The sequence below is a fragment of the Homo sapiens genome, chromosome 6 (assembly GCF_000001405.40).
Source record: "Homo sapiens chromosome 6, GRCh38.p14 Primary Assembly".
NCBI classification, from domain to species: domain Eukaryota; kingdom Metazoa; phylum Chordata; class Mammalia; order Primates; family Hominidae; genus Homo; species Homo sapiens.
The window spans coordinates 118535205-118562533 of record NC_000006.12 but is presented as its reverse complement, the minus strand read 5'-3'; the positions used below and the strand labels follow the sequence as shown (position 1 = coordinate 118562533).

Sequence of the window (27329 nt, the reverse complement as noted above, 5' to 3'; positions counted from 1 at the left end):
GAATTAGCCATATATGGTGATGTGCCCCTGTAGTGCCAGCTACTTGGGAACCAAGGTTGGAGAATCCTTTGCACCCCAAGAGTTCAAGGCTGCAGTGTGCAATGATCATGTGACTGCATTCCAGCCTGCATGACAGAGTAACACCCTGTCTCTTGATTTAAAAAAAAAAAATTGATAAAATGAGTTAAAGTAAAATGACTTGTTTTTTGTCTAACATGAAATAATAATGAAAAAGTTTTATTTATAACTTGAGAGTGTTTAAAGTATTCTGTTACGTCCTGTGAACAGAAAGTTTTCTTATTTTTATTCTTATTTTTGTACCCTGTTCTGGCTTTAATTTTTTAACTGTTTGAGATAATTTATATATTCAAAGATGTGAACACTATGACACTCCCTATATTAGGATATGACACATTCATTAGGTAGTTAAAGAGGACTTTTATATACCTGTTTTAATGAATAAAATTAGTAATGTGTTTCACTTTTTTCATCTGTCAAGTTTTCTATGTAATATTAGCATAAAATTTCTGGACATTTTGAAGTGTGCTGTTACTTAGCAGAAGAGCAGATCTTTTCTGAAAATTTATTATAGTCCTACTTTGCCAGAAGTCTCAAAAATAATCAAAAGATAAATAATCGCTATGTAGTAGCAATTTGTTATCTTATATACGTCTGCCCTCTTGTGTGTCTGGACTTGGGCGTCTTGATTTTGTTTTATTTGGGGAAAGTCACCAAAAAAACCCCTATAAAATTAAAACTATAATTAGAGCGTTTTATCGTTAGTATCAATTGTAAGTGTATTATAGAGCAGCCCCACTGAGTTTTCAAGAACATTCATTTTAATATAGTGATTCTGATTTGCATTAAACAAATATATATTCTTAACCAATTAAAATATAAAAGGCAACATTAAGCATTTTAAAATTGTTTTTAGTGCCCTGTAAATTAAGATAAGAACTTATTCTATAGTAGAACATATTTGAGCATTTAGTATATTAAATTTTAAAAATAAATTGTTTTCTTATATCTTATTCTTTACACTTTATGATGAAGAATAATTATTTAAAGAGTTTATTCTACTTTATAATTTGAGTTATAGTATTCTGTAATCCTCACAGAATAAGATTTTAATTTCTATCAAAGAATGAAGAACAAAAAAATTAGTTATTTCTGTTTACTGAGAAAAATATTGTAACAAACAGTGTAATCAAAGGAATATGACTAATCAGTTCAAATTTTCCACTTGTTTTTAAGACTAGGGATACTTTCTGTATTGGTAATTTACTAAAACCAGTGAGGTGAGTGTATCACCTGTTGTTTATAAGCTTTCTACTTGTTTTTAGGAATTTCCAGCTTGTAGATGAGGCGTCACTTAAGAAATCTCTGCCCTTCTGTTCTTCAGATATCCCTGAACCAAACACTTTCCACTCCCCATCTCTAGTATCTCTCATGGGTTCAGAAAATTTAATAGTGTCTCCTTCACTATTGAGTTAGCAACACTTGTGTAAGAAACCAAGGTCAATATTGATGTTACATATTCTTTTAGTAACCATGTTTTAGAAGATATGGTTAATTACACATCCTCTACTCTTTTAATAATAGTTATATTAGTAACATGTCTTCAACTGAAATTAAAATTGTTGGATTATGCAGTATAGGTGTAAACTATTTTAGACTTAATTTTAAACTTTAGTCAACTTAAATTACCAAAGTTTGGTGAATATATTTTCCAGCACTCAATTTTACTTCAGTTGTTTTATGAGTTATTGGAAGATGTTCTGAAATGGTCAGAGGAGAAATTGAAAATTTATTCATCAAGAAAATAATTATAAATAGCATAGCTGGATCTATAATTTAGCTCAGTAGAGTGGACTGCAAAATAGATGCTTACCATTTGGTTGATAGAGGAAGAAAAATAGCTATATCCTATTACAGTTGACCCTTGAACAACAAGGGCTTGAATTGCAAGGGTCCACTTATACATGAATATTCTTTCCCCCACTCCCCACACCCCTAAGACAAGACTGCAAGACCAACGCCTTCTCTTCCTCCCCATCTTTCTCCTCCTCTGCCTACTCAATGTGAAGACAATGAGAATGAAGACTTTTATGTTGACCCACTTCCATTTAATGAATAGTAAATATATTTTCTCTTTCTTATGATTTTCTAAATAACATTTTCTCTAGCTTACTTTATTGTAGGAATATAGTGTATAATACATATAACACGCAAAATATGTGTTAATTTACTGTTTATGTTATCAGTAAGGTTTATGGTCAATAGTAGGCTATTAGGTAGTTAAGATTTTGCGGACCCACGAATTGTCAGCTCCCCTAACCCCCATGTTCAAGGGTCAGCTGTAGATGTAATAGATGGGCCAACAAGTTCATTTCAAAATATAATCTAATAATTAGTTAATATTTGGAGAGAGAATTCATATATTTTTAAAAAATACTTGAGATAATATATTTTTCTGTCACTGGAAATCTTTTATTTTCCTTGCCTGCATTGGATGTTAGGCTGGAATGGAAGACAACCTGCAAAATCATTCTGAAGTCTTAAGGTTTCATGATTCCAAAGATATAGTATGGTAAGCTAGGTAACTCTAGCTCAGATAATTCACTACAGTGCCTTAAATGAAGATTAGATTCTGTTGTTAGTATATTAGTGATATGACTAATCTCACTGTCACATATTAACCACCAGTTCTCATCTGTTGATCATATGTCTTAGAACAGATTTATGATTTACCTACATGTACTAGAATTCTGTGATTCTTTGAAAAAATTACTTAAAAGGAATTTTATTATGTAAGAGTATGGCCTTACTTTTCCATACTTGATTCTCATCAACTTTAAAAGATGTTAATGTGGCATAGAAAAAATACAATTTCTGTTTTAGAATGTAGATTCTGATAGTTACTACAAATAGTTCTTTATAATAAGATAACAGATGTGAGGAGTCAGTGGACTATTTTGAATAATGACACTTCATTTGTGTTATTACTTTGATACTTGGTGAAGACCTGAAAAATACTTAGTATTAAAGAAGCTTTTACATTGTAATATAAATTATATTCACCTCAAAAGAGTAAAAATAATGCTTTATATATGAAGTGAACTTGTTGGCAGTGCAGTTTTAAAACTAAACTCTTCATCTTCAGAAAAGATTTGGGATAGAAATTTGTGAGCCATGTTGAGGAAATCAACAGTTGCATTTTATACACTTATTTTGAAGTTAATTTTTGAAAATAAAGCCCTTTTCATGTTTACAAGATCCAACAGATGAATACATATGGTAACAATAAGTTTTAGTCTTAATCTTGACCTTTTCACAAAGAAACTCTTCTACTCAGGAAGTGGTCTGTTATACAATATTGTTTTCCTGTCTGCATGGGATGACAGATTTTAAGCTGATGTGGCAAGCTGCAGATCTAGAGGTTGTAGCAGAACTTCAGAGAAGCATCACGATGATACAGATCAGCAAGAGACATATTAAGATGAGACAGAAATTGATAAATAGATTCTGTAGCTTTTGACGTGCTTGTTGAGGCATTTCAATGGTTGAGGCTCTTCTTATAGCTGAGCGAGTGAGGTATTGGACTTTCTCCATGATACCAGCAGGACAGGAAGTCTGAAGTTTTAAGTGGTCGAGAGAAAGATAAAAAGCTGGCAGCCAAATATGAGATAACTGTCTTCTTTTAGGTAGCCTGGAATGTAAAAATAATAAATGGATTAGAATCATCTATGTAACCTATCCTCAGAACAAAAAATACAATTTTACACTAATTCATCTTCCTCAGCACTATTGTTATTTATAACATCATGTTTCTATAGTCTCTCTCCCTCTCTCTCTCTCTCTCTCTCTCTCTCTGTGTGTGTGTGTGTGTGTGTGTGTGTGTGTGTGTATGTGCACGTGTTTCTATGTGTCTGTCTCTCTTTCTCTCCTTTTTTGATGGGGCACACCATGACCGTCTCATTTGTGTTAGGAGTAGTAACTTTAGTCCTTGCCTTTTTCTCCCAAATTTACTACAAGTATTGGAGTAATCCTCAGTGTCTTCCATAAGTTCCTGGAAACCATGACTTTACGCAAAACAACATATAACAAAACCATTTTTACCCTAGGCTGATTGATGTAAACAAGAGTTAAGTTCCTATAGCATATTTCTGGTCACAAAAACATCACCAAACTTCTCAATAAAGACCCCAAACACTTCTAATATTAAACGTTGAGAGAAATATGAACTATGTATACATTTAAGAAAGATTAATAAAAACCAGATAGGCCAGGTGCAGTGGCTCATGCCTGTAATCCCAGCACTTTGGGAGGCCAAGGCGGGCAGTTCCCCTGAGGTCAGGAGTTTGAGACCAGCCTGGCCAACATGGTGAAACCCTGTCTCTACTAAAAATATAAAAATTAGCTAGGCTGGTGGCATGTGCCTGTAATCCTAGCTACTTGGGAGGATCGCTGGAGCCCAGGAGGCAGGGGTTGCATTGAGCCCAGATCATGCCACTGTACTCCAGCCTGGGTGACAGAGCAAAACTCTGTCCCAGGAAAAAAAAAAAAAAGCCAACAAAGATAATTACCCAGTATTTGGTGAATCAGTGAGTAACAGTGGTTGTGGTGGTCTATTAAAAACATGGAATCATGTTTGAGAAATGAAAATTGTCAGGAGCACATCCAGCTCCATGCAGATCAAAAACAATTCAAATACGGTGGGATCTCTGAGTGCTTTTGTGCCATAGCGTTTATTGTCATGCATTTGTATGATCACCGTAGACTTTACCAATTTTTATTCGATAATAATTTGTATTCATCCATTCATTCATTTTTCAACCCTCTTATTCTGGTTTGGGGTGCTGGTGGCTGGAGCCAATCCCAGCAGCTCAAGGAGGGAGGAACCCACCTTGGATAGGAGGCCACTCCATCACAGGATACACTCATGTACACACTCACACTCAACCCAGGACAACTTAAACATGCCAGTGAACCTAATGTGCACTGTTTTGGGATATGGGAGGAAACCAGAGTCCCACAGATGTGGGGAGAATATGCAAGCCCCACACATACTTAAATGTTATAACAAAATGACATAGAAATGATGTTATTTGAGGACCTGCTGTATTTGGTTTAAGGTACAGCTTGTTTTGGGTTATTCTTTTGGGTAAAAGTTCTAACATATAGTTTCTTTAAATCTGTTACTCTGTAGATGTAATTGGTTTGATCAGTCACTGTATTAATAGCTCCAGAGCCAATCTCATAAAAAGGAAATGCATACAACAAATTGTTCCCTGGATCTTAATTTTAATCTAAAATAAAATAGTGTTAAATGGGAAGTGTTTTACCAAAAATATAGATTCAAATTGTTATTCCTTTTTATGATTTTATAGTTTTATAGAATGTTATCTTAAGTAACATTTTAATAAGATTTGATGTTAAGTACTGAAGACTGTCAAGCTTGGAACACATAGTAATTATTATTATCTCACTACCACAGACATATCCTATTTACAGACTTCTACTTAATAGTAGTAGTTTCCATCATGCCTTCTTTCAGAGATCCCACAAGCTATTGCTGCCTGTGGGGCCTATACTTTGATGATTAATAAAATAAGAATTTACATGTCATTACAGAAAAATTATATATAGACTGAAAATTAACTGTATTAACTGTCCAGAGATAATCGTTATTAACACTTGGGGACATTTTGTTTTCAATCAGTATACTTATGTGTCAATTTTGAAATAAGAAAAATGAAAAACGGAGAAAAAAAGTCAGTAATTAACTGCCAGACATAGTGACTGTTAACATTTGTTGATATATTATTGTTAATCAACATATTACTACCTTACCCCAGGTGTCAGATTTTATTTTCTCCTAAGTCCTTTTATACATCCCATAAAAGCCCATCTCAACCTGTTAGCCCATTCCTGAGAGAGGAAAGTGCTGAAGGGAGCAGAAGGAAGTGCTGAAAGAATGGCAAAGGGGAAGGTAAGTATCAGGCATGACTAGTTAGAACCCGGCATTTACTTTGGCAAAGAAACCATATGGTTTATGGTGTTTAGATTCTGTAGTGTTCAACTTGGGTCTATTATATTCTGAATTATATAGTAGACTGGGCATTTTTGGCTTGAGACTCTGTCCCCCTTCATAATATTGGTCTGTAGCAAGGAGTTCCAAACACTCAACTTCTATCAAATTTTCTTTCCTTAAAGAGTTATTAACTACCTGTATTTTTCTAGCATATATTCTTCATTGTCTAAACAGGTGGCTAAAGGCTGTTATTTAGGTTGTCTATAACACTTCTACTTAGAAAATAGCAGCTTATAAAAGCAGAACTACCATTCGACCCAACAATCCCATTACTGGGTATATATCCAGAGGAGTGTAAATCTTTCTGCCGTAAAGACATACACCCATGAATATTCATTGCAGCACTATTCACAATAGCAAAGACATGAACCGGCCTAAGTGCTCATCAGTGACAGACTGGATAAAGAAAATGTGGTACATATACACCATGCAATACTATGCAGCCATAAAAAAGAATGATATCATGTCTTTTGCGGGAACATGGATGGAGCTGGAGGTCATTATCCCTAGCAAACTAACATAGGAAAAGAAAACCAAATACCACAGGTTCTCACTTACAGGTGGGAGCAAGATGATAAGAACTTATGAACACAAAGAAGGAAACAACAGACGCTGGGGTCTACTTGAGCGGGGAGGATGGGAGGAGGCAGAGGAGCAGAAAACTGTTGGGTACTGGGCTTAATAACGGGATGATGAAGTAATACATACAACAAGCTCCCCATGACATGTGTTTACCTGTGTAACAAACCTTCACACATACCCCCAAACTTAAAACAAAAGTTAAAAATAAGGGACATAGCAGCTTAAACTTGACATATATTTAATGACTTTTGTTTGAATTCTTCAGGTAAAATATAAATAGATTTTCTTTTGTTCTTTATTGAGATTCATCCTTTAAGTTGCTTATGTTGATATTTGCTTATGTTGATATTTGCTTATTGTAGATCTAGTGGATTGGAAAATTATGGGAAGATTTTATTTATATTTGAGTAGTCACTTTTTTTTTTTTTTTTTGAGACAGTCTTGCTGTGTTGCCCAGGCTGGAGTGCAGTGGCACGATCTCGGCTCACTGCAAGCTCCACCTCCCGGGTTCACGCCATTCTCCTGCCTTAGCCTCCCGAGTAGCTGGGACTACAGGTGCCCGCCACCATGCCTAATTTTTTTGTGTTTTTAGTAGAGACGGGGTTTCACCATGTTAGCCAGGATGGTCTCGATCTCCCGACCTCGTGATCCACCCGCCTCGGCCTCCCAAAGTGCTGGGATTGCAGGCGTGAGCCACTGCACCTGGCCGAGTAGTCACCTTTTATGAAGATGTGTAGCAGAATACAGTTAAGAAAGGAATAATAATTAGACTTGGTAATTCCTATTTGAACATATGGTTTTGTGAGGTTTTTGGGCTTAAGTGGTCTTAAAAGGTCAGAAATTTTAAAAATTATTTTGAGACAAAACATGGGAAAGGAGGGAGTTGGCCAGGAGTTTATCATGAAGCATATACAGGAGTCATCCCCTACGTTGACACTGGTAAGTTGTACTTCAGTCACATGAAACATGTCACCTTTCCATAAATACTCCATTCCCTTTTGTGATTTTGTTCTTTGCACATGTTGTTCTATCTCTGCCTGGAATGTGTTCTCCACCTTTTGATTGTCTGCCATGCAAGCTTCAGTTGATTCTTAAGGTTCAGTTTAAATATCACTTCCTAGTGAAACCTTTCATTAGTTATTAAGGTGGAATTGGTTGTCACCTCTACTGGTTTTTAATAGGGCTTTAGTGTTATCTATATGAGGATATCTGTCAGATTATAGCACAATTTCAATTTACATGTTTGTATCCCCAGCTAGACTGATAGTTTCTGAAGTAAAGAAACTGTGTGTTTATTTAGTATCCTAGTACTTAGTGCATAATTGGTATGCTTCAATAAATCACTAAAGTTAAATAAGGGATTTTTATGACTAAAACTATTAGAAAATTGTTAATTAAAAATAATGCTGTGGGCAGGGCATGGTGGCTCACATCTATAATTCCAACACTTTGGAAGGCCTAGGCGGGACGAATGTTTGAGCCCAGGAGTTCGAGACCAGCTTGGGCAACATAATGAGACCCCATCTCATTTTTAATTAATTAATTGTTTTTATGAATGGATGAATGAATGACTGACAGGGTCTTGCTCTGTCACCCAGGCTGGAGTGCAGTTGTGCAATCGTGGCTCACTGCACCTCAACTTCCCAGGCTCTAGCGATCTCCCTGCCTCAGCCTCCTGAGTAGCTGAGACCACAGGTGTGCGCCACCATGCCTGGCTAATTTTTGTATTTTTGGTAGGGACAGGGTTTCACTGTGCTGCACAGGCTGGTCTCAAACTCCTGAGCTCAGGTAATTCCTGGGATTACAAGTGTGAATGACCATGCCTGGCCCTCATTTTTAATAATAAGTTAAACAATTTTAAAAATAATGCTGTGATTGACAGATTAACTAGTTCTAATAACAATTTGTTAGTTGGACATGTAAGCTCTAATATTTTCCTCAAGTCTCTTTCTATCACAGGTGAGAAAAATGAGGCTTAGAGGATTCACCTAAATTAATGGTTACCTGATTAACACAGTATTAACCTGAACTAGGCTTTGTATAAATGGGTTTTTAGTATTTGTGAAATACAGAGATATGCCCTAAAGAGATGAGCTCTTTACTGTTTAAAGCATAGTTAACATACTTTAAAGATGATCTTATAATCCTACAACAGCTAACTGTTATTGAAAAAGAAGAGTTTGTTTCTGGAAACAAATTGGGTGTAAAGGAGATGACCAAAAATAGTATCCTGTTTCTTGTCAGATTTAGAAATATGCCATAATCCTAAAGTTATTTGTAACTACTTTATGATTTTATGCCTAAACTTAAATCTGCTTTACACGCTAAAATGTTAATGATATACATTTAATTTATTGGGCTCAATTTTTTACAGTTATCATCTGAAATGTGTGGAATCCTAGTTCTACTGAATACCAACATTTGTATGATGATAATTAGGCCAGATTTTATCCATAGAAGATGGGGCTTCCTGTCATACATTGAGAATTGAAAACCTTTGTTGTGGGAACAGCAGAATCCTATTTTTGGAGTTGTCTGTGACCTTTACTACATTATAATTTATGGCATGGTTGTCAGATGTTTATCATTCTCTTCTCTGCACTGACAACCACTGTATGAGTTTCCTTTTTTTTTTTTTTTTTAATTTCTTAACAGCTAAGCTGTTTAATAGAGTACTTTTTCGATGGAAAGCATACAAAAATAGTTTAGTTTTATTTTCATGTTATCTGATCTTTTTAGAGCATTCTGTTAGTCTAATCATAAATAGTTTTGGGATTTTCTGAACTTGTATATGGCCTAAACAACCATGGAAACTGAAGCTGCTCTCCACCCTTTTATTAAAAGAATGACAATATATATAAATTGGTTGTTTTGACACAAGAGTGGTATTCATTTATAGATGAATTTTAAAATCAAATTGTCTTCTAGGCCCTAGAATCAAGAGTATTGAAAACATGAAAGGTGCTTGTTAGGAGTTTGGGTGTAGAAATGCCAGACTCCTGTCTCTTGAGTTACATGTCAGAGGCAGGAAAGTATCCACAGAGTATCTTATGTCTGTGGATCCATGATTACTCTACTTTTTAGGGGAATGAGAAGAATAAAAATAAAGAATTCTTTACTATTCTTTGTGGGATTTATAAATCCTTTGGTTGTCGTCCTTTCCTCAAGAAAAGTAACGCTGGAAATTAAAAAAAAAATCAAGTTCAAGATGGTATTCTGGTTTTTTTTTTGAGGTGGAAGAAGGAAATAGAAAAGCCATTAGGCAACTCTAATCTTTTGACTAATGTCATATACCATGTTAGGCAACATGTTTGGTGGAAGCTACTATATATCAACTCCTTCAGGAGTCCTTACTTTGTCTGCAGTGAGTCCTGTTTTAGCAATGTAATATCAGATGCATTCTTGTGCGGAAGGAACCTCAATAGTCTTCTGAAAACTTTTGGTGGCCTGCTTTATGACTTGCTAGACAATTGATACTTTAATGATGTTGTATATGCTGAGCATTAATCTCCATCTATACTTTAAGTATGTTCACTTCTTGCAGAACTTCTCAAACTTCAGTATTTTTGGTGGTATTCCTTTTGCTGAAATAATAAATTCCTGGGATTCTTTATGTTTGTAGAATTTAGAATTTTGCTTTTCTCCTTTTAATTTTGTTTATTCTTTTAGTAAACATGGGAGTACTGAAGAAATACTTTATTAAATTGAATTCAAGTAATATCTAAGGCTACAGTCTGATATACTCTAGGATGTTTTTTCCATCTAATTGGTTTAGAAGATTAGAATTTTCTATAGATTGAATAAACAGGACTTGTCTATATTTGGATTGTTTGGAATTTTATTTTTCTACTACTTTCTGACATTTCCACTGATAAGCCATAAGTGAATGTGCATATACCCTTTTTTGGACTTGTGGTAATAAATTAGGACAGTTCATCATTAGATTTACGATGAATCTGTTGGCTTACAAAAGTTCACTCCAGTGGAGTCATTTTCCTTTTGAGATTGCCTAATACTAAACTTGGACATTCTATTTGAAGTTACTTTGTGGTAGCAACATTCCAGAGCTTTGTTGGTCCAGACTGGCTGTTTGAAAGAATCTTCAAGCTGCTTCTGTCTGGTTATGAAAATAATTGTATATGCATAAAAATCAATATATTCTCATTCCTAAATTGACCCATAATGAAGTGCTTCTCATGTTAAAGCTCTGTCTTGAGGAGAATTCATTAAACAACAGCACAGAGATATTTTTCTCTCTAAAACTGACAATTTAGCTTATTGCTGTTGCTATATTGTCTGTAGGTTTGCCTTCATTATTGTTTTTTAAATATTGAAACAATGCTTTACAAGTGTATTTACAAGTAAAATATTCTTCTTAACCCTGTAGGAGTTGGAAATTCAGAATCTTTTCTGGGGGAAGAGAATATGGGGAGGTAGTATTGAGAAAGTCTTAAGGATTTAAAATGAATGCCACTTAATAAATATACCCCCTATTAATGTGAGTGAGTTAGTCAACCTTTTTTTTTGTGCGGGGGTTGGGGGTTGAAAACTAAAGATGGAGTACCTTTTCAAAGGCACTAGAGGTCCTCAGTTGACTATGAGTATGCTGTACATCCAGGCTTCATTTTCATGTGTTTATTTGGTAACACATGCTTCAGAATTACTCTGGGTAAGAACTTTGAAATTGTACAAAGAGACTACTTGATTCTAGGGAACCTAGAATAAAGTATCGAAATGTGATTTTTGTGAAAGTTTTGAGGAGATGTTAACTTGGATTTTAGGTATCAGATGAATTGAAGGCATGAGTATTTTAGCAATGAAACAAATAAAAGGAAACTTTGATTGATTGGGGTGTGTTATTTTTTTTAAAGTCTGTGCAGTTAGTTTGAATTTTGCCTTCCAGGAGGTATTGCTTAATAACTAAGGGCATCTGTAATTTTCGTATATTTCTGGTTTTGAAAATGATCAGTAGAATATAATTTAGACTATTAAGAATGTAATGCTATGCATAAATTGAATTTAAATGGAGTGGAATGGCTTTTAATTAAAATAGAAGTTTGTATTCTCTGAATTTGCCTTTTGCCTTTTAGAATATCATTTACAGTATTTGGGGGCTTTCAAATTTTGTTTGTCAGTGTCATGGTTTACTTTAAGCCATGCTGATCAGTATATAGAGGATGTGCATGTGGCTTAGTGACAAAACCTAAACTTCTGCCAAGGTTTCCCTGTTTTCTTAGTTCTGTGATCTTGAGCAGTTCACCTTTTTGCATCTTTCCTAAATTGTAGAATAGGGATGCAGTATCAAATATATAATTAAGAGGACCAAATGAAATATTTGTGTACACGAGTATATTAGGAAATTGCTCTTTAAGAATAAAAAAGAAGTGTTCATTGGCCCTCCTCATTTCTGGGATTGGTAATATATTGTCTAATTTGGAGAGGTAACTAGACTTTAGGTTTTTTAATTAAAAATTTAATATATTACATAATTTAGTGTACATGTGTAATGAGTACATTAAAACATTAAAATACATTAAAATTTTCTGAAACTATTGTATTTATGCAATATTTTATTATTTCTTAATCTCACTAATTAAAGATATGATTATATACCCAAATGTGATCATTTTCCTTTATGCCTACTAAAATACAAATAAAATGGATTTGATATTTGAGTTTTAGGAAATGATAGTGCTGTCACGCCTTTTAGTAAAGCAAGTACTCTGGCTCTTTCATGCGTTTTTAAAACTTAATGCTTCTTAATTTAAACATCTTTCATATTTTTTCCATTTGATTTCATCTAACACTTTTTTTAGCACTTACTTTGAAACCACATGTCTTCATAAACAAAGATAATACTTAACTTGCACCTTAAGGTATAGATGAACTAGTTGGGACACAATGTATGGTACTACCACATTATATTTGAAATTTTAGCAGTCTCTGTAACTGTAATTTCTGTTAACTGAGACATACTAGTGAGCTAAGGGTAAGTTTAATATAATTTCTGCTCTATCCAGAAGTATGTGTACTTTTTAGAGTAATATGTGATATAGCAAAATTCTGATACAATAAAATAACTCGTGAACACCCAATTTGAAGTGTGAGAATGTAATTTGATAGATATTTGAATAAAAATGCACAAATAACATAAGACACCTACACTGAATGACTTTTATGTACTATCAAAGGAAAAATATGAGTATAGAGATATGGAGACACAATTAGGATACCTCAGTGGTAGACAAAAATTATGTTTTTTTATGTCTTAAGGAAAGCTGCTTACAGAGTTACAAAGTTCTTATTTGTAGTGAGCAATAGAATTAACATTTGTCATAGGAATTGAGAATTTTAGAGATAAATTTTATTTTAACATATATATGAAATATGAAAATCAAAATAAATAAAATATATGTAATTTTCTGTATGCCCTGACAGAGATCTAAGAATGAGGAAACGTTTCATTTACTAAATTGAGGATTGTAACATAAAGAATAGGGTAGAATTCAAACAGAAGTCATAAAATTGATTGTGGCATCTCCATTCCTGGCATTTATTTTATTTTTTCCTTTCTTTCTAAATCCGAGAGAGGAAATGGAGTACCACTGGAGGATAATAACTTGACAAAACTATAGGCATTAATAGGCAGAAATCCATTTAATCAAATTTGTGTGAAAATAAGATAGTTAAGAATATTCGTGTGTCAAAATAACTTTTTAAAGTATCAAATTATTCTCTAACGTCAGATTTTTTGTGTTTGTGAACATTGTTTTAAAATTTCTAAACTTCTTTATGATACAATATTGAATTTAATATCAGTAACTCAATTTATTAATAGCATGGAATTTTTTTAGAAATGTTTGTTAAAAGTTGACTGGACTTTAGAGGGGAAACATCCTCAAGGGCACTTTAAAAGTAGCTTGTATTATATATTCTGAAACTCCATTTCATTATTCACTGTATGAAATTATGATAATATTGGAATAGGCATGCTGATAATGTGCATGTTGTAGTCAAATGACTATTCATATTAGTTCAGATGTAAATAGCTCAGTTCTGCACTGTTTCTCAGCAGAGCAATAAATAACAAAATTAAGTCATTGTTTTTGCATGGAGAAATTAACCACTACTACCAAATATGGTAACATAATTGGAAGATTTTTTAATTGGCAGAAATTCACATTTGAAAAGCAAAATAAAAGTGAAAGATAAATTTAAATGACAAACCAGTAACCAGGATCAAAGATGAATATGACCTTTTTCATTTCAAAGTTGTCTCATTTTTCCTGTCACTAAATGGATAAGCATTTATAAATTTAAGCACTTTGTCATGTCATTTTATTGCCTAAGATTGAACTGATATTCATAAAATTAACTCATTTTAAAAGTTCAGATTATAGAAATTATAGGAATTAAGAATTATAGAAAGTAAGAATTACCAAAGTCAGCGAAATCTGTTTCTTACCTTGGCAGCTGTGATCATCACAGTATAGAGTATTGTGTTGTATGAAGTCTTACGGGTGTTTAGCTGGGGAGTTTTCTGACTCTGTCACCCAGTTTATGGGAACAGTTGCAGTAGGTGGAGGAGAAAAAGTGTTCTAGGGAGGTCTTATGATGTCACATAGGAATTCTGAAGTTTCGATTGGTTAGCCACAGTCTCAGTCTTATCACAACCAAACTTTAGAACTTCTTACTTTAGGTATGGAAAAGTCATTAACACTTTGTGCTTCATCTTTTGTTTTTAATTTAAAACAGTATATGGTAGATAAATGAAAAAAATAAGTAAACTTGAGGTGGTGGAAAGCTTTTGTTAAAGATTCATGCATCTTCAGGCTTAGAGATAATTGAATATTAATGGTGAAGATGTTGAAGAGCTAAAATAGTTACTGCAGGAATTTTAATTATGAGAAAAATAAACACAGGTATAAGCAAAACAACTTTCATTGAATTCTTGCTGCTGTTGCTTTAATACGTGTCTTCATAATGTTAGCTTTTAGTGAAAGTGAAATATTTTTACACAATAAAATTTTATACCTGTTTTCTTATTTTGTTCTTGTTCTTGTGTGTATGGGAGAAGGAGTATGAGAAAATCAGGCTAATTGCTTTTTGTTTTAAAAAATTATTTTTATCTTACAGTTAAAGAACTAATAAATGTATTTAATTCATTTGTGTTTTCTTCAATTAGCAGTTTAACAATATATTTGTGAATAGTAATACTTATATTTAAACTGATACATACAACACCCCCAAAATAGCAATATGCTACTTTAAGTATTTAAGATTTTTTAAAAACAATTGCATTAAATTATTACACAATCTTACCAAATTTTTAATAAACTGATGCAGTATTAAGGGCAACTTTATGGCAAAAAAGAAATAATTACAGATTCCAAATCAGTTACATCTCAGTTAATGAGGCTTTATAGGTTTGATGTGTTGAAATTTAAGTTTTGTAATGTTTTTGAAAGGATGTGCCTCATTTAATCTAGCAGTTGCTTTCCTGAAAATTACTATAAAAATGAGATGCTAGTAAGTGAGATGATATTTTGAACTTCCTAGAACAGTTTATCTTACAGTAGAACTGGGGAAATAATTTTTTTGTAAAGCCGGGCATCATTCTCCTCTTCTCTGTTTATCTAATTTGTTGTCTTAGATGTTAGATTTACTTAAGTCACCACACTCGAAAATATTAATTCTTAAATCTCTTCTTTAATTTTAGAGGAGGTACTTGTAATTTTTAATTTTTTAAATGCTTATGACAGAGTGAACTTAGCCCACTTCACTTTCTTATGGGTAACTAAAATGTGTAGCAGCAGCTGCTTACATGCCCTTAAATGGAAATGATCTTGGCTTCTTCCAAAGAAAGAAAATCCATCTCTAGAGCAAATCATTTGATATTTAAAGAGTCAGCTTAAAACTAACTGAAAAATAATATTTTAGCAAAGATATCCTGTGAACATTGCCAAGGGAAAATTTACAACTTAAAAGTAAAACCCAAGTTAAGGAAATTGCAGAATAATGTTTGATACTTTTCTCAGTGCTACAACCATTTTTCTTTCAATCCTTACATAATGAGGATCTCTCAGTACTATCAGTTACCAATGATGATTGATAATACAAAACCGAGAAGCCTAACGAGGTTTACAGTAATTTGTCAGAGATAACCAGCTGCTAAAGAATAGACAGGATTCAAATCCAGATCTGTCTGTTTATAATTCCTAATCTGTTGGCATGCTGTGGGAAAAAATTATAATTTGAATATAGCTTTCATTAGAGTAGCATATAGTAACTGAGAAATTTTTAAGATGTAAATAGATGCATTCTTGAGCACTGTTAATAGTTTTAGAAAGTCTGCTTTAAGTTTGTCTACCAGTTACACATTCATTTGAAATTTAGGTGATAGATCATTGTTCTGAGAACTTCTCATTCTAAGAAAATAGAATTAGTAATACTTAGTTGGATAAACCAAGAAGCTGCCGTAGACAGAATAAAATATGCCCTAGTTACCACATGTTTATAAGTTTACTTAAAAAGTATACATAGGCATATACACACCTTAGAAGGATACTAACAACTGTGTGTGACACAGTTGGAAAATGGATTCAAAAATTTACTTTTTAGATTGGTACAAGAGTGGGGAGTTTTTGTGTTTACCTTGTTCCTTTGGGTTAGCTAGTGAAGATGACGATGATGGTGATGATCTCATGTGGAACTCTAGGAAGTATTAGATTTTAGTTTTAACTGAACATTGTTTTTAATTGCCCAAACAGAAAGTTGTTTAATAGGAGTATTAATGAGTTATAGTGTTATCAGTAGAGTGTTCCTCAATGATTCCTCAGCTAGAGGCTAGAAAATTTTTTTGAGGTGCTTTGTCACAGTCTTCATTTGGAGTTACACTATAGTTTGAATGTATTTTTGGTCACATGGCTTTATACAAATAACTTTCCTAAGCAGCCTAATCTGTGGAATAGTATTTGTGATGGTTTAATGACATGAAGTGTACATAGTGATTATCAGAGATCCTGCAACAGTGTTCATTTAGTGTTAGCACTTATTTTCTTTTTTCCTTTAGAAGGTGGATTCTTAAGGGTAAAGTGTCTTTGAACTTGGATGGGAAAATAATTACAAATTTATTTTTACTAAGCTCTAAATGAAATTTAGTATTCAGTTTCAACTGAATCATGAGTTCATGTCTTTACTTTTGTTTTTATATAGTTTTGTAGCATTTTAAATGTGTTCCTCAAAAGTATTACTAATTTTTTTTGGAAGGGGGTGCGGAGTCTCACTCTGTTACTCAGCCCCGAGTGAATGGTGCGATCTCAGCTCACTGCAACCTCTCCCTCTCGGGTTCAAGCGATTCTCCTGCCTCAGCCTCCCAAGTAGCTGAGACTACAGGCGTGTGCCACCACGCCCAGCTAACTTTTGTATTTTTAGTAGAGATGGGGTTTCACCATATTGCCCAGGCTGGTCTCAAACTCCTGACCTCGTGATCTGCCCACCTCGGCCTCCCAAAGTGCTGGGATTACAGGCGTGAGCCACCGCGCCCAGCTATATTACTAACGTTTTGTGAAGGGCACTGTGATGTATGTAGTAATCTTTTACATTGAGCATTTAAACTCCAGTCTGTAGTGGTGTATCCGGAGGGCGAAGAAGCTTCAAAATAGAATCGGTTTTTGGAAATTTTTGACCAGAAGTTAATATAAGTGATGACTAAATTAAAGCATTTTAATATTTAGACAGAGATACAGTAAAATGCAAGCTTTGAATCAATTTTTGTAATGTTCACAATACATCAAAGATAAGGAGCTTTTTTTAGATTAGATCTCCTAGACACCCAGGAAGAAGATTTTACCTATCTCTTGAGGGTACTTGAGGGTTTGATAATTACTGCCTTAAATTTTAAAGCTACGTAGGGAAGGACTGGTTCAAAAAACATCTAAGCAAAACTGCGAATAAGAATTAGTGGTCTGAGATTGAGAGGATGGAAATTCTCTCCATAGGGCAATAGGGAAAAGAAAATAAGATTTACTCATCAACTGGAGTTGGGGGGCTGTTGATATAACCCAGTGATAAAGTAACCTATAAAGCTTAGGGGTCATTTGGGGGAGGTAGGTTCACTTTTCACTTGATTTGCCAGATAACCTGGAGACCCAAACATTTTATTTTTTCATAAATATCTGAATTCTGGGCAAATTCTCTTTCCTCATCTTGATGAGGGGTGGAGAAGAGCATTGACATTAAGAGAGGCCAGATGGATTAAGAAAAGGACTCATATAGGTCTACATAAATTTTGGAAAGTTATTAAACATTCTAAGTGATAGAAATGCTATAGCATGCTACGTGGCTTCAAGGAAATTATGGTTTATCAGTATACAAATAATATGGAAATGAAAATTTAACATTTAGAAGGTAACCACTAGTGCAAGATAACACCAGGAGAAAAAGAAATTCCCAATTGAGAGTCAAATGAGCACGTGTAATAATAAGCAGTATGACTTCTAAGAGAAGTGCATGTTTTGTACAAAGGAAACGGACAGAACCAAAGCCAAAAATAACAAAGGGAAACACATACATCACAAAACAAATTTAACAACAAAAACCAACCCTTAGGTCTCCAAATACTTGCTTCAAAATTCTATAGGGTCCCGATCATGATGCTGTTACATTGTTAAGAAGGTTCTATTTCAATTTAATGATTGTAGTATTTCTCCAGACATATTAAATTTCTTATCTTTGTGGTTGATATCTCAGCCCTTTGAGCTCCTCGCATTCGCAAACTTTGTGGTGGCACTATCACTGATTTTGATACAAAATTGAAATTGGAGGCTCATACCTTTTCTGTCTTCTGCCAGACTCCCCATTCACTTAGAAACCAAATGCAGATTGTGAAATATGTCTTTGTTCTCATAGCCTGACCAACTCTCCTCTTAACTTTCATAGACGTTTATTAACTAGTTTTTCTACCCTTCGTTGTGACTCTTTCCTACTCAGTTTTTACTCTGATATCCAAGTGCACATTTGATTGTCATTCACATGCTGAGAACTTTTTATTGATTTCTCTTTCGAGATGAAAAACCCACTCTTTACAGAATTACATAAAACATCGTTCCTGATCTGTCCATTGCCATGTATGCCTACCATAACGATTTGACAACTCTGCCATTATATGTTATTTCTTCTATCCGAATTATTTTCCTTACTGTCTTGTTCTTATAGAACTCCTTCATTATTCAGAAGTAGGTGGGGAGAAGCCCTGTTTTGCTTGTTCTTAATTTCTAATTATACAAGTAATAAGTGAATATCTCTTATAATTCAGAAAAGTCAGATAAATCTGAAGTTGGTGGGGGACTTTTTATATTATATAGGTCTATTTATTTTCCTTGCCATAAACTTCATGAATAGAGACTGATTGATTTTTTTAAGCTCTACACACTGTTTATCCCTTAGAAGGCTCAATAAGATATTTTTATACTTAATGGATATTTAGAATATTATTTTTCTATTACAAGTGAACTCTTAAAAAGGATAAGTTGAAAGAAGAGAGAATAAAGGCCCTCAGAAACTTAGATAAACTAATTTTCTTTGTCCCTAATGATTGCCTCTGAAAAGTTGAGATTTTTCTTGCACTTAATTCTTTAACTTGTTCACACTTTGACGTGTGTGTAACATCAAAAAACAATTTCAACAAATTGAGTTTAATTAATTGGCTTTGATTAATGATTCATGAATTGGGCAGTGTCTCTATAAAAATAGGCCATCAGATGAGCTAAGTGGAGGAGGTGGGCTTTCTAGGCAGAAAGAGGCTAAAGAAAGAAGGAACAAAAAGTGAATTGGTTATTGTAAGTTACTTTCCTTATAAGGTTAAAACAGACTTCTTTATCATGCTAATTCAGGTAAACTGGGCCCTTTCTGATTGGTTGCTGTGAATATCCTGTTTTTTTTTTTTTTTTTTTTTTTGGGAAAACTTGGTGATGTTGAAGTTCAGTTTGGTTATGTGGCTCCTAGCAGGAGTGGCTCCATTCTTGTTTGGTCTGGTCTGTTAAGACTCAGCCCAAAACAAACCAGAGTGACTGCATTGTGGTTTGGCGTGGGCTATTAAGTCTCAGTCCAAAACAATGGCATTCCATAGTTTTGTGTAACCATAATATAAGAGATTTTTGGAGTGGTTGAAGGTTGGTCAAGGAATATTAATGAGGAGTTGAATTGGAACTGTCATTCTCATTTTTTTGTCCTCTCTCTACCTTACTCTATGATTTTCAGAAAATGAATCTTTCTGTACTGTAGTTTTCTCGTAAATAAATGGAAGGCAGATCGAATTAATTTCTAAAGTCTCTTTGAAGCCCAAATGTTCTGATTATACTAAACTAGCTTGAAAAATGTGGTTATTTTGAAAGTAGCTATTAATTTTAGCTAATTTTGTTAAACATGTAAATTTCACAAGAAGCCAGTTCTTAATTCATTTCTTTAAACTACTGGTTTACTGGTTGTCAGGCACTCTATTAGGTAAGGAATGCACTTAAAAAAAAAGTCCTTATCTTCAGGCATGTTAAGCTTTTAAAAACTCTAAAAAACCCTAAAACATTACCTGTTCATTGGAGAATAATTTTAAATATGCTTGGGCATTTTTGTGTGCTGTTTATTAAAAATATATGTTACAAATTTTAATGTCTTATTTTTACTATGTAAATGTGAGTTTGGCATATAATACACCATAATTTGTGAATTTTCTTATTGAATATCAGGGGATATAATTTTTGCCATTATAAACCTTAAAAAACAACACTGTGATTCCATCTATGTAAATAAATCTGTTAAATTCTCTTTTTTCTCTTGGTTCTGTAAACTTGTTATTCCTAAACATTAGTTCATGTAAGGCTGATCAGGCTTGTAAATGAATTTGATTTGTTTTTGAAATGTAATAATTTTCAAGATTTGGTCAGTTACATTTCCTTATAATTAGAGAAACTTCTTTGAGAAAATGAGCTAAAATTATACATTTTTGGGGTGAGAATTAAACTCTGAATTAGTAAACATCCTGAGTGACATGACTGTACCAACTAAGCAACTAAAGAAATTGCACTTTTAGTTAAGATCAAGTGGCTTTTTGATCAGTGCTCCTGCTCTAAGGATGAGGGAGGTAATCCTACCTTAATGTAGATCTGAGCTTTTATTTAAAGACTTTGATAATATCAACATTTAAGATAGGTTCTTGATTGCTTCAGGTGGAGAACCTCTAAAACATAATGGCTTCTATGCTTCAGTTACACAGTTAGCCCTCTTTAAGTTTGTAGAGTAAAATTAGAACTGAACCTTGATTTTTCAGCAGATACATTCTTGAGAAGGTTATGAAAATAGATTTTGATATGTGGAATTCATATTTACTTTATAAAGCAAAAGATGTAAAAATGTTCCAGTGGAAATAAACCCAACTTCCTGATATGTAAGCATTGTAACTTTTTACTGGCAACTTAATTACGCTACTGAGAGTTATACATGGTTTTGCTATATTTCAGGAAAGCCATACTTCATCCTTAACTCATCTCCAAATTAAAAGCTTGCATAGCATAGCAAAAGGGCATGAACATCTCATCATCTGCTGATTTAATTTGCCCTTCAGTTGGTCAAAGGTGATGAGTGGGCTCCAGGACCAACATTAGGATCAAGAGGATGCCTTTGGCAAAGTCATTTGTAAGGCTGCCCCGTTAATGTATTCTTTTCTCAATGGGCTTATTGCTTAATTGAGGGTACTATGGATATCTGAAAAGTTGATTGTTGACTCCAGTATTAATACATTGATTTTTTTTCCCTTAGCTAACTTGAAAAAGTAACATAACCCAAAATTCAATATTTGGATAAGTATGAGTCCGTATAATGAATGTTAGACAATGAAAACATGCTCCTGAAACTTCACACTTCCAAAATAGAACGAAGTATGGCCATTGAAGACTGTCTTTCAAATTTATCTCTATATTAATAGCAAACTAAAATTAGTTGTGCAGATTAGTTGAAGTTTCCCTAGGTCTGACTGAAATGAGGCTAGACCGCAAGGGTCAGAAAGCATTATTTATTTATTTATTTATTTATTTATTTATTTATTTATTTAAGATGGGGTCTCGCTCTGTTGCCAGGCTGGAGTGCAGTGGCGTGATCTTGGTTCACTGCAAGCTTCGCCTCCCAGGTTCAAGCGATTCTCCTGCCTCAGCCTCCCTAGTAGCTGGGACTACAGGTGTGCATCACCACACCCAGCTAATTTTTGTATTTTTAGTATAGAGACGGAGTTTCACCATGTTGGCCAGGATGGTCTACATCTCTTGACCTCGTGATGTGCCCGCCTTGGCCTCCCAAAGTGCTGGGATTACAGGTGTGAGCCACTGTGCCCGGCCAGAAAGCATGATTTTTAATCAAACATAGGTTTGCATACTGATCTTTGAGCTATAATCTTTTAAGTGTAGATATTTCTTACTGTTAACACATATCATTGCTAACAAAATGGTAACCTTCTGTAGAAATCTCCAAATTTTCATATCAGTCAGTAGTTAATAAACATTGTCAGGTGCTGTGCTGAGTATCAGGGCACAAATGAATAAGACCCAACTTATCATGATACAGGAAAGGAACCACTGCCATAATTACTATTACAGTATGCTAATTACAGTACCTGTTTTTGCTGTTGGAAATACTTTTGGATTTTTTTCAAGGCTGATAAATATCCCTAGGGTGTTCTAGCTACTCATCCTCTTTTTGTTAATTGTGTACTATAGGCCAGTGATGAACTGGACTCTGGAGATTTAAAAAAAAAAAAAAAGACATCGGCATCAGCAATCAACTTGTTCCTGTTTTATGACCTATACATATACAGGGAGCTGTCTGAACTCCACTCAACAGTTTCACCATGAGATTATTGTTGACTCCTGAGACCATTTTAAAAATGATATTTTTAACATATAAAAGAAGAAAACATTAGTGACCCATAACTGCACAGATAGAAAAGAAAAAAGTAATATGTAAATGGTAGGAAAAGTCAGATAAATCCCAATTGATAGAAAGTAAAAGCATGCTCCCTCTCCCCTCAAGATAGCTCCCTTTAGTAGTTTCTTTTTTTGGGGGGAGGGAGAGCATCATGATAAATACCTAATGCATGCGGGGCTTAATACCTAGGTGATGGGTTGATAGGTGCAGCAAACCACCATGGCACAGGTTTACCTATGTAAGAAACCTGCATGTCCTTCACATGTATCCCGGAACTTAAAATAAAATTTAACAAAAAAAAGTAAAAAATAGTTTCTTTTATATCCTTTTAGAAAAATTCATTGCTACATTTCAAGATAATGTAGGCAGTGCTTTGGTCCCTTAACATATTTGTCACTTAATGACAGGAATACATTCTGAGAAATGAGGCAATTTCTTTATTGTGTAAACATCGTAGAGTGTACTTACACAAACCTAGATGGTATAGCCGACTAACAACTACACGCCTAGGCTATATGGTATTTGCTCCTAAGCTACAAACCTGTACAGAATGTTATTGTACTAAATACTGTAAACAATTTGTAACACAGTGTTACTGTGTACCTAAATATATCTATAGAAAAGATATAGTAAGAATGAGGTATAATCTTAAGGGTGCAGCATTTACAGGAACATTATTATGCAGTGCATGACTATCAAATATTTTTATCCCTTGAGAGTAAAATATGATAAAGACTTGATTAAATATATGTTGTTAGTCTGATTTTTAAAATAAATTAAAATGTTAGCACCTGTACTATAGCTTTGTTTTAGTAGAAGCTGGTTATATAGTGTAGTAAATTTGCTATTCATAACCTTGGGCAAGATCCAAAATAGAGCCATATTGTATTAAGTACTTCATTTTGATAAACTTCTTTTATTTCAGTTTCATAGATACCTGTTTCATAAATTGTCAATTATATCATTAATTTTTTTTCCATTTTTATTGTCTGGTTTGTTAATTACAAGGGATTGATTCATTAAATTCTGTTTATATTTCATCTAAAAATTTAAAAAGTAAATTATAGCAACAAAATGCTTGGAAAACATTACATTCTATTTGTTTTATAAGTAAAGTCCATGATTAACCTTAATTTGAATACTTAAGCTTCATTTGTTTTACCTAATCTTCTAATTGATTTGCTTAAAGAAAGTAAGTTACTGTCTGTCTTGGATAAACCATTTCTTCTCTTCACTTTTGTACTATGATTGTAATGAGATCATGTTGCATGCATGGCTCATTTCTTTGTTGGAATTTTTTAAAGACATGATAATACTAACCGATGATATATAAACTGGATTGATTTTTAAGAGGAAAAATTTTTCTCCCTCCAAAAGAAAAGAGATAATAGTAATTTAGTTGTTTAGCATGTTGGAAATCAGAAATACTTTGAGTTCCCTTTATCTTCATGCATATGCATTCTTAAGATGTTTTTTATATATATATTTATATCATCAGTTTCTTTTTATCATTTTTTCAGGGTCTTTTACCTTTCAAGTAACTCAATTTACTTGAATTGTTATTTCAGTAAATCATATTAGGATGTCAAAAAGCTTACAGAGTTAGTAACAAAAACACATTGAAGAAATAATTAGATTATTAAAAACAGTTTCTTCTATAATATAAACTTTGAGGGTCAAGATGCAGACTTCAGTATAATAGGAAGGGGTGACTGATAGAATGGTTTTTTTGTTGTTGTTAGAGAAATACGTAATAATGCACTCCATAAATAATTACATGGGCTTAGTTAAGACGTAGATTTTATATTAAGTGCACAGTTCTTTTAGTAATAACATAATTCATATTTTCCTTCTCTTGGTGAATAAAGATTCTTTAAATTTTATGTTATTTGTATTATTTTCATCTTCATTACTGAGCTTTGTGAATTTATTTACTTTTTAGTTAAGGTATGACTCTTACCAGAAAACACTTGTAGAGTATCTCTTCAGATAGACTATTCCAGGAAACAGAGGAAGATTTACTGTGTTACGTGACATGTTGTGAGTGATGAATAAGCTCAGAGACAAAGGCAAGTGAAGGAGAGATAACAAACTTGAAGAATTGCAGAGGTTGTATTCCAGTCAAGTGTGGTAGCACTGGATTATCTAAATTTAACAGTATTTGTCCAGGCCAAAGAATTTTGAACTATTTTCAGCTGCACTACAGTAAACTTTTATTAGGAGCATGTTTGGCCATTAAGTGACATATTTTGGCAACTTTTCATAGTATCCGGATCTCATCTAAGTAGCATGTGTTTGGGATTGTTGTAGATGCCTGCTATCCTTACTCAATTTTGAGAGTGGAATCTGCCATTTCCAAGAAGAGGTACCTATGTATATTTTCTGGGTCTATAAATCTATATGGTTAGGGTCTACATGCCTACATTAGGGTAGAGAACAGTGTGTCATATGCATTTTTAGGTAAAACATCTAAATGAGGCCTTCCCAGTGCTCCCTGAGTTTGGCAGCTACTAAATATATATATAAAATGTTTACCTGTAAAAATGTCTCTGTTTCACCTTTACACATTTTGAAATGTTACTTTGATGGCATACTTTGTTTCTTCAAATTAACTCACATAGTTACAAGGTTTATAACTACCTTTTACATTGCATGTTCATGTCAAAGTTTTGTCATTAATAAGTTATAAATTATATGCTTAAATTAACATGTTCTAGATTACTTATATTGGTTACAGTGATGTAGAAACATGATAGATTACTTTGAAATTCTAAGTAGAACAGCATAGCAACAGTAATTTTATGATTTATCAATATGTGAATTTTGATACATGTTTTTCTATCAAAACAAGTACCTCGGTTTTCTGGGATATTGTCAAGATGTATATTTTACTAGTAATATATAACTGCCATGCAATGGTATGCTTCTCAAAGCCAGTTATGACTTTACTGAATAAAAATTCTTGTTTTCTAACTACTTGGGAAAAAATGTGTTACTAAAGGGATATAGGGGAGAAGTTATTTGAATATAAAATCCTTTCCTCTTTTCTATATTAGGAAGCAGGATTGTCTTCTGCCTTAATAGAAGGCTTCTTTGTTCTCCTAGAGTTCTGACAGCGCCTAAGAACCAGCTTGTAGGTTGTTATCAACTTCATTCTTCATCCATGCATTCTTGGTGTAGGGTATATATGTCATCTGGCCTTTTCTCTTATCTCATGGCTAGTTGCAGATGTGGAGTTGCACCAAAGTGATGATGAGATAGGAACTTACAGCCACGACAGTGCATTCTGTCATCTATAGTGCATCTTTGGGACTTAAGGATTCTCTTCTAGCAGATGAGGCCTTTATTTCCCTTCAATACTTCTTCTAAGGTAGAAAGTGAAATAAAGTATAAGTATTTCCTGTATTATATTTTTTGTTGATGTCTAACATACAGTAAAGTACATAGGAATATTAATCTTTAATAATAGCTCCATTCCAATACACACCCACATACATCTCCCCTTATAATCACCACTCAGGTCAGGATACAAAATTTCTAATGCCCAGTAGGTTTAGCTTGTGACTCTTCTCAGTCTTTATGGTGACACCTTATATCCTACCCATCTCTACTGTTCTGACTTACCATTATTGATTATGTATGGTCTGTGCTAGCATTCTTTTGTTTAGCATAATGTCTCTGAATTTAATCTATGTTGTTTTGTATAATAGTAGTTCTGTTTTATTGCTATATAGTATTCTAGTGTATACTTCTACCACCATTAATTATCTATTCCTTTGTTAACACATTTGGGTTGTTTCAATTTTATTATGATAAGTTCTTTTTGCTTCTACTGTTGTTGAGTGGGAGATATGTAAACATTTACCTACAATTTTAGAAAAATCAAATTTTAATATGATAATTGAAGTATAATTTACATGCAACTTTTAAGATTTTTAAAGATTAAATTTACATAAAATGCTATAATTTGAGTTTTGAAGAATGTATACAGTAGTCCTTTAATAAATTAAATCTATAAGATTTAATTTATAATTTAGGCATAGTAAGAAATTAACAATAGCTAATAATAAAATAGAATAATTATAACAATATGAGAGCATCACTACTCTTGCACTTTGGGGCCATTATTAAGTAAAATAAGGATTACTGGAACACAAATACTGCGATACTGAGAGTTGGTCCTTTAACCAAGATGGCACTACACGCCAGTGGGTGGATAGCATATACAGTGTGGATGAGCTGGAGAAATGGATGATTCACCTCCTGGGTGAGAGGAAACAAAATGGTGTGGGATTTCATCACACTACTTAGAATGGAGTACAATTTATAATTTGTGAATTTTCTTTATTTCTAGAATTTTCCATTATTAATATTTTCAGGCAACGGTTGACTGTGGGTAACTGAAACCAGAGAAAGTGAAACTGCGATTATATGAGGATCATTTTACTACAAGAGAAGTGTGCGACATTTCCATCACTCCAGAAAGCTACCTTTTGCCCCTTTGTAGTTAGTCCTCTACCCCGCTTGGCAACCACTGATCTGATTCTTATTGTTTTGCCTTTTGCAGAAGCCCTATGTATAGAATCAGATAGTTGATAGCCTTTGAGTGTGGTTTCTTTCACTTTTCATGCTGCTGTTGAGATTCATCCATGTTGTTGCATGTTATAAATTTGTGTGTGTGCCT

The 27329-nt window shown here is 33.6% G+C and overlaps 2 protein-coding genes across 15 annotated transcripts in view, besides 1 other annotated feature; one reads left to right on the top strand and one right to left on the bottom strand.

Moving 5' to 3' along the window:
- CEP85L (centrosomal protein 85L) overlaps positions 1–27329 on the top strand; it is a 249318-nt gene that overhangs the window by 147556 nt on the left and 74433 nt on the right. The window contains exon 1 of one of the 14 annotated variants that reach the window (XM_005266972.5): positions 19635–25010. The exons of the other annotated variants lie outside the window; for them this stretch is intronic. The gene's annotated coding sequence lies outside the window, so the exon portion shown is untranslated. Of the gene's footprint in view, positions 1–19634; positions 25011–27329 lie in introns of those variants that run through there. 14 annotated transcript variants of the gene reach the window in all.
- Positions 818–14238, bottom strand: PLN (phospholamban). The gene is made up of 2 exons (NM_002667.5): positions 14142–14238; positions 818–3709 (listed from the first exon to the last, which is right to left on the bottom strand). Exon 2 carries the CDS (start codon positions 3610–3612, stop codon positions 3454–3456), a length of 159 nt encoding a protein of 52 aa, NP_002658.1. The 5' UTR covers positions 3613–3709; positions 14142–14238; the 3' UTR covers positions 818–3453.
- Positions 23921–26492: an enhancer, noted in NCBI's record as "VISTA enhancer hs2188". NCBI's record gives its function as "enhancer in: heart[12/12]" and the evidence as "EXISTENCE:transgenic organism evidence [ECO:0001131][PMID:17130149]".

What these genes read in the sequence shown, in the direction of transcription:
- PLN (NM_002667.5), bottom strand. Translation starts at nt 3,612, where the DNA reads ATGGAGAAAGTCCAATACCTCACTCGCTCAGCTATAAGAAGAGCCTCA.